This window comes from Homo sapiens, chromosome 5, assembly GCF_000001405.40.
Source record: "Homo sapiens chromosome 5, GRCh38.p14 Primary Assembly".
Classification (NCBI taxonomy): Eukaryota; Metazoa; Chordata; class Mammalia; order Primates; family Hominidae; genus Homo; species Homo sapiens.
This window is the reverse complement of record NC_000005.10, coordinates 130,217,241-130,230,828: the sequence shown is the minus strand read 5'-3', so window position 1 is coordinate 130,230,828 and position 13,588 is coordinate 130,217,241. Positions and strand designations below refer to the sequence as shown.

Genomic DNA, 13,588 nt, shown 5'->3' with positions numbered 1-13,588 from the left:
GCAGGAACAGCTGCCTCCCAAGTACACAATGAAGACAGTAGTATTGCTAGCTTTTAGAAAAATGTATCATTTTCTATGTCTTTAAATTAAATAGTATTTGCCAAAATTACTCAGTTATGCATGCTACGAAGTCAAAATAAAAGCTGCTATAGAACACTTGCTGGACAAGTAAAATAACTAAATTCTAAATTTTAAATTAAGAAAGAAGCTCTTAGTATCTAGGGACAGTCGTTGATTTTTATGGCATATTTTTCATATGAAAAGCTGCCTGATCATACAGGTCTTGTCAATGTGAGTTCTGCACTGATTGCCCCATGATCATAAATGTTTTCTTTGACACAGGAAGTCACATTTAATTCCTTTTGGTTCCTATGCATAACAGCTTCTTTGACAGTGGGAGCAACTGGTTTCTCCTCCTTCACTTTGGATCCATCCTGACAAATGGTGTTAAGTAGGCCCATCTTTCTTTACTTCTCTAACTTCTTTTTAATGTAATTTTTAAATCAACAGATAAAATTATATGTATTTATCATGTATAACGTGATGTTTTGGAGTATATGTACATTGTGGAATAATTAAATCTAGCTAATATCGTGCATTACCTCATTTAGTTATCAGTTTTGTGGTGAGAACAATTAACATCCACTCTCCTAGCATTTTTCAAGAATACAATACATTGTCATTAACCGTAGTCATCATTTTGTACCTTCTCTTCCTGATGTTTTAGTGGGAAAAGTACAAACCAAAAAGGCTCTTCCTCATTCTTTTAAAAGTCCCTTCTCATGATCCATTTACCTACTTCATCTTTAGGTTCTTGCAATTTTCAAGCTGCTGTCTTAATACCTGAGGTCACTATCACACTTTCACCTACACACACATTTGACCTACTTGCTAGGCTTCCTTTAACAATTCTTCTAAGTTCACAGCATTGTTAAACATGGAGTCAAATATGTCAAGATCCCTCCCACAACACATGGGAATTATGGGAGTACAATTCAAGATGAGATTTGGGTGGAGACACAGCCAAACCTTATCACTTATGTTATTTTTTTTCCTATTTGTCCTATTATTCATATTACTGTTTTTACTTTTCTCTTTACTGTTTTAGAAATGTACATCGTATACTTCTTTTATCTTTATCCTTTAACTTTATGAAAAAATTATAATATTGAACAATTTATTAACCTTTTTTCAGAATAATACATGACTCTTAAGACAATCCTTCTTCTTTCTCTGTTAACTCTAATCATGCCCCACCTAGCATACATGCCATTGTTGTTTTGAATTTTAGTTCTTTTGTCTGCATTTATATGATGTTTATTTAGGTTCACATACATTTTCTATTTTATTTCTCACCAGTTCCTTTACATTTCAGAGTTTTCCTCTTCCTTAAAAGTACATTCTGTTGTGAGTTTCCTCAACCAAATCTGCCATTCTGTTAGAAGCAGATCATGTGATTAATTTTCTAAACTCCTTGGTAGAATAAAGCTCATATATTTGCTCTACCCAGGATGAACACTAAATTCAAATGTTTGAAATTTCTTTTTCTTTTTTTTTCTTTTTTTTTTGAGACGGAGTCTCTCTCCGTCACCAGGCTGGAGTGAGTGGCGCGATCTCGGCCCACTACAACCTCCACTTCCCAGGTTCAAGCAATTCTCCTGCCTCAGCCTCCCGAGTAGGTGGGAATACAGGCGCGTGCCACCACGCCCAGCTAATTTTTTGTATTTTTAGTAGAGATGGGGTTTCACCATGTTGGTCAGGCTGGTCTCGATCTCGTGACCTCGTGATCCATCCGCTTCGGCCTCCCAAAGTGCTGGGATTACAGGCATGAGCCACCATGCCCGGCCTGAAATTTCTTTTTCTAAAGTTAGAGCTATTTATTTTTGAGCATATTCCAAAGTTGGCAGAAATATTCTCCCAGCTGGTATGTGACAGTACTATCAGCGGTTCTAATTCTATATATTTTATTTCATAAAAGTTTGTATCTCTAATACATTTTTCAAAAAGTTCTGATTTGTTCTTGAAAACAGTTTCATTCCTTAATCACATAATAGATACTGATTGTCTGTCTCACTGCATTACATCATTTATTTTATTTTTCAGAGCTGTCTTGTGGACTGTGATCACTATCTGAAATACAGTGACAATCCAGTCCTTCAATCTAAACCTTTTTTTTGAAAACACAAACACACATGCCTATTAAATTCTGAGGCTAGTTCATCAAGAATCCGAATAGTATCCAAAATATATTCAGCCAGATGTTTTATAAATATTAAAATGACATAGACTTTAGATAGGTTGAAAGCTTCGTTAATGTGGTCCTATCTGCCATTCTGTTTGATCATTTTCTTAAAAAACAAACAAACAAATAAACAAACCCCAGAAACAAAACCTCAAGGTTAGCTTTTGTGTTCTACATTACCACATTACCTATGCTGATGTATAAACCTCCACAAATATCTACCTGCCAGATAATAAACTCCATACTTGAAAGGACTTTCATCATTCTTATGTAAAGGATTTTAAAACTACTTTTATTTGCCATACATTGCAAACCAAAAGTAGATTTCCATACTTCTCTGCAGAACACATTTTAAGTAAAATTACCCCTTGAAATCATGTAGATACTTTATCAATGCATTTGTTGTAATGAAAATATTAAGACTGGTAAGCAAATGGCATTAAGATTTATTATTTAAAAACCTGATTTTAAGTAAAACCCTGGATAAGTTACTAGACTGCTATACACATTGCTATGCAAAACCGAATCTATAGTACCTGGATATTCGAATGTAAAGTTCGTAGTAGGTTTCCTGCAGCCTCCTGCTGCAGGAGAAAAGAAAGTTTCCTTTTTTCTCTGTTTCATCAGTGTTCCACCTGGACCCTGCTGTTTTCAGACTTATATTAAACATCACACAGCAGGGTATGGGTCTTTGTCTCTTGAATGGTTGATAGAGGGCCGAATGATGCAATCCAGAGAACACTTAGCCTCTCTTGTGGTAAATCTTGACCAATGGGAATTGGGAAAGAGGAAGGAATTAAAGAGACAAATTGCCTTTAAATAATACTTTCTATAGATTACTCTAAGTATAATTCCTTTTGTATTTCTTCCATAGAAGCCCTATAGACCAAGTAAACAAATCTGGCTTGTGACCTGCCATCAGTATCACATTATATCTTTTACCTCATTCCCATTTTCCCTTGCTCTTAATACCTTAGGCTTTGTATTTGCCCCACCTCAACCCCCCAGTTATTGCCAATGTTATCTTTATCTCCAGCTCTACTTTCTAGAATACTCAGACAGAAGCAATTGTACATTTTCTTATTTTTTTTTATTATACTTCAAGTTCTAGGGTACATGTGCACAACGTGCAGGTTTGTTACATATGTATACATGTGCCATGTTGGTGTGCTGCACCCATTAACTCATCATTTACATTAGGTATATCCCCTAATGCTATCCCTCCCCACTCCCCCCACCCCACGACAAACCCCGGTGTGTGATGTTCCCCTTCCTATGTCCAAGTGTTCTCATTGTCCAATTCCCACCTATGAGTGAGAACATGCGGTGTTTGGTTTTCTGTCCCTGCAATAGTTTGCTGAGAATGATGGTTTCCAGCTTCATCCATGTCCCTACAAAGGACATGAACTCATCCTTTTTTATGGCTGCATAGTATTCCATGGTGTATATGTGCCTCATTTTCTTAATCCAGTCTATCATTGATGGACATATGGGTTGGTTCCAAGTCTTTGCTATTGTGAATAGTGCTGCAATAAACATATGTGTGCATGTGCCATTACAGCAGCATGATTTATAATCCTTTGGGTATATACCCAGTAATGGGATGTCTGGGTCAAATGGTATTTCTGGTTCTAGATCCTTGAAGAATCGCCACACTGTCTTCCACAATGGTTGAACTAGTTTACAGTTCCTTCAGCAGTGTAAAAGTGTTCCTGTTTCTCCACATCCTCTCCAGCACCTGTTGTTTCCTGACTTTTTAATGATCACCATTCTCACTGGTGTGAGATGGTATCTCATTGTGGTTTTGATTTGCCTTTCTCTGATGGCCAGTGATGATGAGCATTTTTTCATGTGTCTGTTGGCTGCATAAATGTCTTCTTTTGGAAGTGTCTGTTCATATCCTTCGCCCACTTGTTGATGGGTTTGTTTGCTTTTTTCTTGTAAATTTGTTTGAGTTCATTGTAGATTCTGGATATTAGCCCTTTGTCAGATGAGTAGATTGCAAAAATTTTCTCCTGTTCTGTAGGTTGCCTGTTGACTGTGATGACAGTTTCTTTTGCTGTGCAGAAGCTCTTTAGTTTAATTAGATCCCGTTTGTCAATTTTGTCTTTTGTTGCCATTGCTTTTTGTGTTTTAGACATGAAGTCCTTGGCCATACCTATGTCCTGAATGGTATTGCCTAGGTTTTCTTCTAGGGTTTTTATGGTTTTAGGTCTAACATGTAAGTCTTTAATCCATCTTGAATTAATTTTTGTATAAAGTGTAAAGAAGGGATCCAGTTTCAGCTTTCTACATATGGCTAGCCAGTTTTCCCAGCACCATTTATTAAATAGGGAATTCTTTCCCCATTTCTTGTTTTTGTCAGGTTTGTCAAAGATCATTCACAATTGCTTCAATAAGAATAAAATACCTAGGAATCCAACTTACAAGGGATGTGAAGGACCTCTTCAAGGAGAACTGCAAACCACTGCTCAACGAAATAAAAGAGGACACAAACAAATGGAAGAACATTCCATGCTCATGGATAGGAAGAATCAATATCGTGAAAATGGCCATACTGCCCAAGGTAATTTATAGATTCAATGCCATACCCATCAAGCTACCAATGACTTTCTTCACAGAATTGGAAAAAACTACTTTAAAGTTCATATGGAACAAAAAAAGAGCCCGCATCGCCAAGTCAATCCTAAGCCAAAAGAAAAAAGCTGGAGGCATCACGCTACCTGACTTCAAACTATACTAGAAGGCTACAGTAACCAAAACAGCATGGTACTGGTATCAAAACGGAGATATAGACCAATGGAACAGAACAGAGCCCTCAGAAATAATACCACAGATCTACAAGCAATTGTACATTTTTATAGCAAAGATTATATATGTATAAAACAAAAATTATACATACAGTTAGAATTTGTTAGCTAGACAGAAAAACACACTGTGTCTTTGTATAAATATCTGTTTCCTTAATTTATTCTTCTTTAAAAATATTTCTTATATTTTTAAATTTCAAAGACATCTCTATTGTTTTAAACAATATTAATTATAGTGAGGAATAGTACTGAAATAGATTTCTGAGATATGACTTAAGGCATCAGGATATCTAACAAGCCATAATTTTTCAAACATTGTGAGCAGATGCTGAAAATTATAAAGTGTTGTGATTCCAACAGGAATCAGATACAACAGAAGTCCCCAGAAAAAAACATAAATAGCAACAATCTTCTGGAAAGGTTTCAGAAGGAACCATTTCTTCTTCCTCCCATATGTTCCCCTCATGTAGATTTAGGTGGTTATAATGTTGTTTGAGAGGGTGAAGTAATGAGTGAAAGAAGAATTAAGGAATTATACTGTAGTAAAAGAGTACTTGTTAGGACATCTTCTCTAAGTCAGGTTGGGTCTAAGACATTTCCTTATTTCCATGGATTTGGTAATTCCATGATGAAATAAAAACAACTAAAGTTTTCTACAACCTCTTGCCTCTGCTTTGTAGATTTATACTTTTAATAGGAGCTTCAAATAAAAAGAAGACTCACTTGGTAATGAGGAGTGTATTTCAGTTGATAGATAATTAAATTGAAGTCCAAAGAATTTAGATTACTTTGAAATCTTTGAAATCACAACTTTGAAAGAAGTTGTGTCTCACTCCAAAGCCTATGTTTATTTCATTATGCCACATGTGGTAAATGAATATAAAGTGAGGGGAGCAAATGAAAATGTTAAAATATTTAACTTAATTGAATTGGAGAAGTCATAAATATCTGTGGAAACTGCTAGAAATCAGTTTTGATAATTTTCTTTGAAAGTATGATACAGTTATTCCATGAGTATGGTATGCCTTCCTAATAAGTCTTCACTGCCTTCTAAACTATCATTAGATGGCAATAGATGGTTCTGAAAGATACAGTCTCATTTAAGGTAACTTTTGTGTTGAGATGTCAAGAGGCAATTCTGTAGACAAAGGCTCCAGAAAATGATCTTCAATATATTGTCAAAGTTTAGGGGTAAGTGAATTGTTTGTGAAAACACAATTCTCAGACACCTTACTATTGAGCAGCATTGGTATCAGCTGACAGCTTGCTAGAAATGCAGATTTACTATACCAGAACTGCATTTTAACAATGATCCCCAAATTTGAGAAGTAATGCTTTAATAGACTATTCAGAAATGTTGGGCCCAGTTGAAGTCAAGAGAATAAGCATGAAAGCAATCATCTACCTAATGTAATTTTTGCTGAAAGCAAGGGGATAATAAATCTGGTTTCCAGTGTATGTATTCATCAAGGTTTTCCACAGAAACACAAACAATAGGATGTGTGTGTATGTGTTGGGGGGATGTATAGAAAGAGATTTATTAGGAGGAATTAGCTGATATGATTATGAAGGCTGACAAATCACAAGATCTACAGTCAGCAAGCTAGACACTGCGGAGGGCCAATGGTAGGTTCCAGTTCAAAAGCTGATAGACCTGAGAACCAGGAAGAGCAGATGTTTCTGTTTGAGTCCAAAGGCAGGAAAAAACTGACGTTCCAGCTCAAGACACTCAGGCCGGAGAAAATTCCTTCTTACTCAGGTTTTTTTGTTTTTTTTTTTTTTTTTTTCTGTTCGGGTCTTCAAGGGATTGAATGGATTGGATGGAGCTCATTCACATAAGGGAGGGCAACCTGCTTTACTCAGTCTACCAATTTAAATGTTAATTTCATCCAGAAACACCCTCAGAAACACACCTAGAATAACATCTAACTGAGTATCTGCACATCTTGTGGCTCAGACAACTGACAAAATTAACTATCAAATCCGGTAATAAATAGAACTAAATGAAAGTAGTTCCATCACAAAATATAACTGTAAATCACTAAAGAAGTAGCCTCAACACAGTCCTGGGATTAAAAAGCCAATCCTCAAAAGATCAAGGCAGAATCATTTGACAGTCCTACATACAGTTTTTGGCTGGTTTTAAGACAAAATAACTCATTTAGATCTAAAACAGAGACACAAGGAAAATATCTACAGGCAGATAATTCAATTGCAAAAATCAGAGCATATGGAAAAAAATTCCAGCTACCATAAATATAATCTCAGTGTAAACATTTAGCAAAAGAAAGCATAAGTAACATTAGACATTGTAATTTTAAATATATAAATATTTAATTCTTAAATATTCTTTAATTTTTCCTTACCGACATGTTACTACTTTGATTTGCAATCTGAAATCTAACATATTTCTATTGCACCAAAATATGAAAATCAGAAATTATTTTAGTTTTGATCCTTTAACTTAGAGCAATGTTTGTTTTTAAGCAGTTTCTTAGTTGAATACAGTAGTACACAAATACAGGTACTCATGAACACGGATAAAATCTTGCTGACTGGTTTGTATGTTTAGGGAAGCAGCTAAGATATTTGTAGAATTCTGATTTCTAATATTGCCCCATTTAGTTGCAGTATTAGGTAGTCTTATAATTTAACAGCATCCACTTGCAGTTTTTCATTCACGCTGTCAAATTTTTAAGAGAAAATGAACTGGGAAATGGTAATTTATTTTCATGAAATTTAAAATCAAAGAAATCCTTGTTTTGAAAATTGGATCTTAATCTCAAAATTGTAGAACTTGGCTGAGACCATTGCTTTCATTTTGAAAATGAACTTCAACTCCAGAAAGACCAGTGTGTGCTCTGCCAAATAAATTTCTGAGTCACAGTCTCACTAGGAATGTGCAAATCAAAGCATATGTTGGTGTAAATTCTTTTGAAGTCCTTGCCAAGAAATATTCAAAGGAATTCAATGGCTATAATATTCAAGGCTATAATAATGTTCATCCAAATGTTTTTGATCCAGTCTTCATCAGTTAGCTGATTTTCACTCTTTAAAAATTTCCATAAAAGGATTCAGCACCACTTCATACCAAACCACCTAACCTCATTTTAGTAGTGCCAACCACATATTGTGCTTGCAGTTCATCAATCAAGACTAAACTGTCTCCAGTTCAAGCCAAGAAAACACATCTAAGACAACAATGTCTGTTCTTACCCAGCATTTATTTCCTTTTTTCTGTCTTGATAGAACTTTGATTTTTTTTTTTTTTTCTAGAAAATCTCCTCTCCATGTATCTCAGAGGAAGATGACCCAACTTCAAGCTTTCAGGGCAGGCTACACTGGTTTAAATGTATTTCCCCTTTCCAGTGATTGGTTCCAGGAAAGGTCTCTCATCTTCCTCTGGATATTAAAGTGTTTTAAAAATTGTGTTCAGCACTACATCCATCAGGCATCTTGCTAAAGCCTGAGTATGAAACTGGCATTGAGGATTCCTATGATATTTAATGAGACATTGAGATACTAAAGCCACCAACTTTGAAACCTCTTTCTCTGGACTTTCTGCATGTAACATTAATATTTTTCCTATTTTTAAGCCAATTGAAATGGAAATTTTCTATTCCTTGCAGCTGAGAGAATCTTGTATGATATGTGAAGGGTTTCACTTTGAGCTTTTGAACAATTCCATCCTGTAGAATGATTTAATTAATCTATGTTCATTCAACATTGTAAAATGTTGTCCATTTACATAAAAGTTCTGTAACAGATACAGTGTTAGAAGGACCATTCGTTGGCTACAATATTTGTAGATACTCTTACCAATTTTGACCAGTTTTTCATTAAAATTTATGATTCTTTCCAAAACAAAGGTTAAATCAAGGACTATAAGTCATTCTATTATAAAAATACATGCACATGTATGTTTATTGAAGCAGTATTCACAATAGCAAAGACATGGAATCAACTTAAATGCCCATCAATGATAGACTAGATAAAGAAAATGTGGTACATGCACATCATGGAATACTATGCAGCCATAAGAAGGAATGAGATCATGTCCTTTGCAGGGACATGGATGGAGCTGGAGACCATTATCCTCAGCAAACTAACACAGGAACAGAAACCCAAATATTGCATCTTCTTCCTTATAAGTGGGAGCTAAATGATGAGAACACATGGACATATAGAGAGGAACAACACATGCTGGGGTCTGTTGGAGGGTGGAAGGTGGGAGGAGGGAGAAGATCAGGAAAGTAACTCGTGGGGACTAGGCTTAATACATGGCTGGTATAAATAATCTGTACAGCAAACCCCCACGATACAAGTTTACCTATTTTTCAAACCCTGCACATGTACCCCTGAACTTAAATTAAAAGTTAAAAAAGAAGCAGTCATAATAAAAGTAGAAACTGAGATTTTAGACACTCCCCAAATAAAAAGATTTAATCAGTTCCTAATACTGCAATTGTCATAGGCATCATGTATAAATTTTTTAATCATGCAAAAATTCTCTCCCAATAAATGCTATTATCTAGATGTCTATATCTGGATTCTAATACTCACCATACAAAAAACCCACAAATGATTCAACTTTCCCATGCAATTTGTTCTGGAAATTATCAGCTAAACCTTCAACATGCTGATGAGTAGTATTTCTGGGGAGAATTAAATTAAGAAAATATTATTTGTGGTTTCAGATTCACCATTTCTTCTGCATTCATAGATACCCACATCTGTCAATGCTTTTAAATACTTAGACAATAATTTAACTTAAAAATTACATAAATGCATTCCACAGTAGTACTCCTTTTTTACATATGGAAAAAATTGTTAAAATTATATTCTTTTTTACCCTGGACATTAAGGTTTTACCATGAATCTGGTGGTGGTGTCTGGTGATATCTCCCAAGTAAATTACCCCCCCAAATAAAAACTATCCAGCATCTTGTGGGGAGTATGGAGGGGTGGAGGGGAAGGGGAGGGGATCTATAAATCTTCTTTAAAAAAGACTGCTAAGTCTCCTTAACTCAGTTCTACACCTCTCATCTCTTCTAGAGGTTCTTAGAGCCAATAACTCCAAATTTTGGGAGAATTTTCTATTTTGCTTAAATGTTTCTTATTTAAGTAATTTTAACTTTTTTACCTACTTTAATCTTTAAGTAATTGTTTAAGTAATTTTTATTATTTCTCTCTTCTTTCATCCTCCGTGTCTTTGTGAGTTTATGCTTTTAATAAGGAATATGTTCAATCTCCTCCTTTAACTAGGAGTTGCAGATCAAACCTTTTAAATGTATTCAAATTGTCATGGATTTGGTTGTGCCTTTAACTTCGCAGGCTCAGGGAGTAAATGGTGATGATAATGATGATAATGTTGATGATAGGTAATTGAGTACTTATTTTATGTAAGACTCTGCTAAAAGCTTTACAGGAAAAAATTCTTCAAGTATATTTTAAAACAGTATAAGGTGGATATTAATATTCACGCTTCCATATTTTACTTTGGTGACATGTGGATTAGATAATAACTTTAAAAACTTTCAGCAGTGAAATATTTTTATACCAATATTTTTACCTCATCATTTTCTCTTGTCTTGCTGCAGTGGCTACAAGGCAATATGATGTGGTACAATAGCCGTGTTCATTGCTTATACCTAGCTTTGATGGAAATATTTCAAATGCTTTATGTCTAGTTAGAGTGTTTGTTGTAGATATCTGGCAGAGCACCATTTATAAAGGCAGTTACCTTCTACTTTTAACTTGCTAAGTTAAAACTTACTGTATTTCATCAGTTTTTATTAATCTTCCCATATAATCAATATTTTTACATTGATAATATAGCCAATTATAGTAACAAATTTCCTAATAATGAGCCATCTTTAAATTTCTACAGTTAAACACATTTGCTCCTCATATTCTGTGGATATCTCTTGCATGAATTTAGGGTATCTACAGATGTTTCCATACATGAAATTAAGAGTAGTTTTCAGTTTGTGTGATGTCCTTGCCTGATTTTTGTTTGCTTCGTAAAATAATTTGAAAACCTTTCAATTGTTTTCTTTATCAGAACAGTTTGAATTAGGAATTATTATCCGTTCACTAGAAATTGAGTAAAACTCACTTTTCTGGGTCTAGTTAAAAGCTGGCAGTTACATGTCTGACTAGCTTTCCAAATTCTCATACCATCCTTTTCAATCCAGAAAATAGAAATTATTATGTCCATTTTGGTAGAAAATTATCTATTTCTTCTCTACATCCAAATTAATTGACACATATAATTGAAAATAATATTGTGAAGAAGTTTAATAAAAAGCCTATAAAGAACTTAGAACAGTTCTGTCATGGAGTAAGTGCTAAATAAAACTTACAATATAACTATTAATTGGATGTGCTATAGATTTATTTTGTAGTTCTATCTTTTCAATATCATTATATATGTATACACACATATATATATATATACATTTTTAATCAAGTGACTTTAAATTTATGCAGACCAAGATGCCTTTCTCTTTCTTCTTTGTTAATTGAAAGCTTAACTTTCATTGTGAAATCTTAGTTCTCACATTCAAAATGTTGGGAAAATCAAACCTATAAATCCTCCATAATGACAAAAATGAAAAGCCAACAGAGAGATTCTTCTCCAATTAGGAGTGGGAAACTAAGAGGATGATTTTTTAAAAATTAGATAGAGCAAGAAAAAGTTATACATGCTTCCTTGTTTCCAGAGATATATTTAAATTACTATTTACTTGGTAAATCCTACATGCCAAATGCTGTCCTAGTGACTGTGAGATGCAAAGATGAAAAAGACATGATACCTAGTATCTAACTGCTCACAAGTTAGTGAGGAAGAGAGACATATCGGTAAATAACTGTAATGCATTATTGCAAAATATATAGAAAACCAGAAAAATATATGTAGAAATGTGGGAATGCAAATATAGAACAAAATTATTTCCCAAGTTGTATACAGTGTGGGGATGCTGGAGAAAGTTACAGAGAGATGTCCCCAGCCTGACCTAAGGTGACAGCTTTAATAAGATAAGGCCCCTTTATTTTCCTGGGTTTCATCAACCACACACAATAATTTCACCTATATTAGGCTCCATGTCCTATCCAAGTTTATTTTTTAAATTAGTCCTCCATCTGCTCGTGTATGTAGCTGATTGATCGAATATGTCTTTATTGGAAGATTTAGGAAGTAAAACCCCCTGATTGGTCCCGCTTGGGAACTCATGCCAGAACATCCTATAATAGGGCATCACCACAAACTCCACTTCTGTAGTTCTGATTTCCAGCCCTAGAATCAGGACTTTGGTTACTGCACATTTTTCAATATTTTTTATCAGTTCTGTTCAGCAGCTACGGGCCACACATTATTTATATTGTTTTTTCTGTCTTTTATAGATTTTTTTCCACTGAATGTGACAGCATTCAGCCAAATTTGAAGTATCTATGCTCCCACATATTTGAGATTTTCTGTAATCTTTTATAATCTAAGTCAGATTATATTACTGCTTTGCTTATGATCTCCAAAGTCTCCCCATCTCTCTAACAGTTAAAGCCAATGTCATTAACTGGCACAAGCCCTACATGGCCTGGCACCTCACTACCTCCAAGGCCTCATCTCTTACCACTTTCCATACCCACTGCTGCTTTACCACTACATGTGCCTCTTTGCTGGTCCTCCAACGTCAAGTACACACCCACCTTGAGATATTACACTTGCTGTTCTCTTTGCCAAAGATATTCTTACCCCGTGCATCATTGTGAATCAACTCTTGCTTACTCAAGTCTCTGCTCAACTGTTGCCCTCTTAGAGACCTTCCCATACTATCATGGGTAAGATAGCAATCTCTACTCAATTTGGCACTACCTATCATCCTTACCCTGCTTTCTTTTGGTCTTTCTTTCTTTTTTCTTTCTTTCTTTCTCTTTCTTTCTTTCTCTCTTTCTTTTCTTTCTTTCTCTTTCTTTCTTTCTCTCTCCTTCTTTCTTTCTCTCTCCTTCCTTCCTTCTTTCCTTCTTTCCCTCCCTCTCTCCCTCCCTCCCTCCCTTTCTTTCTTTCTTTCTTTCTTTCTTTCTTTCTTTCTTTCTTTCTTTCTTTCTTCTTTCTTTTTCTTTCTTTCTTTTGTCATTCTTTTTTTTTTTTGAGAGAGAGAGAGGAGGTTTTGCTCTTGTCACCAGGCTGGAGTGCAATGGTGCAATCTCAGCTCACTGCAACCTCTGCTTTCCGGATTCAAGCGATTCTCCTGCCTCAGCCTCTGGAGTAGCTGGGATTACAGGAGCCCACCATCATGCCTGGCTAATTTTTGCATTTTTAGTAGAGATAGAGTTTCACCATGTTGGCCAGACTTGTCTTGAACTCATGACCTAAGGTGATCTGTCCACCTTGTCCTCCCAAAGTGCTGGGATTACAGGTGTGAACCACCGCACCTAGCCCCTGCTTTATTTTCTTCATAGCACATACAAGTAATATACTCTGACATATTTCATACTTGCATGTTTTGCTTTTCTGTTACTTCCCCTACACTGT

At 35.1% G+C, this 13,588-nt stretch overlaps 1 annotated feature.

The window, feature by feature from the left end:
• Positions 2,669-3,213: an enhancer, noted in NCBI's record as "NANOG hESC enhancer chr5:129563309-129563853 (GRCh37/hg19 assembly coordinates)". NCBI's record gives its function as "activates a minimal SCP1, AML or CMV promoter by ChIP-STARR-seq in naive and primed H9 embryonic stem cells {active_cell/tissue: H9 hESC(naive and primed)}" and the evidence as "EXISTENCE:reporter gene assay evidence [ECO:0000049][PMID:30033119]".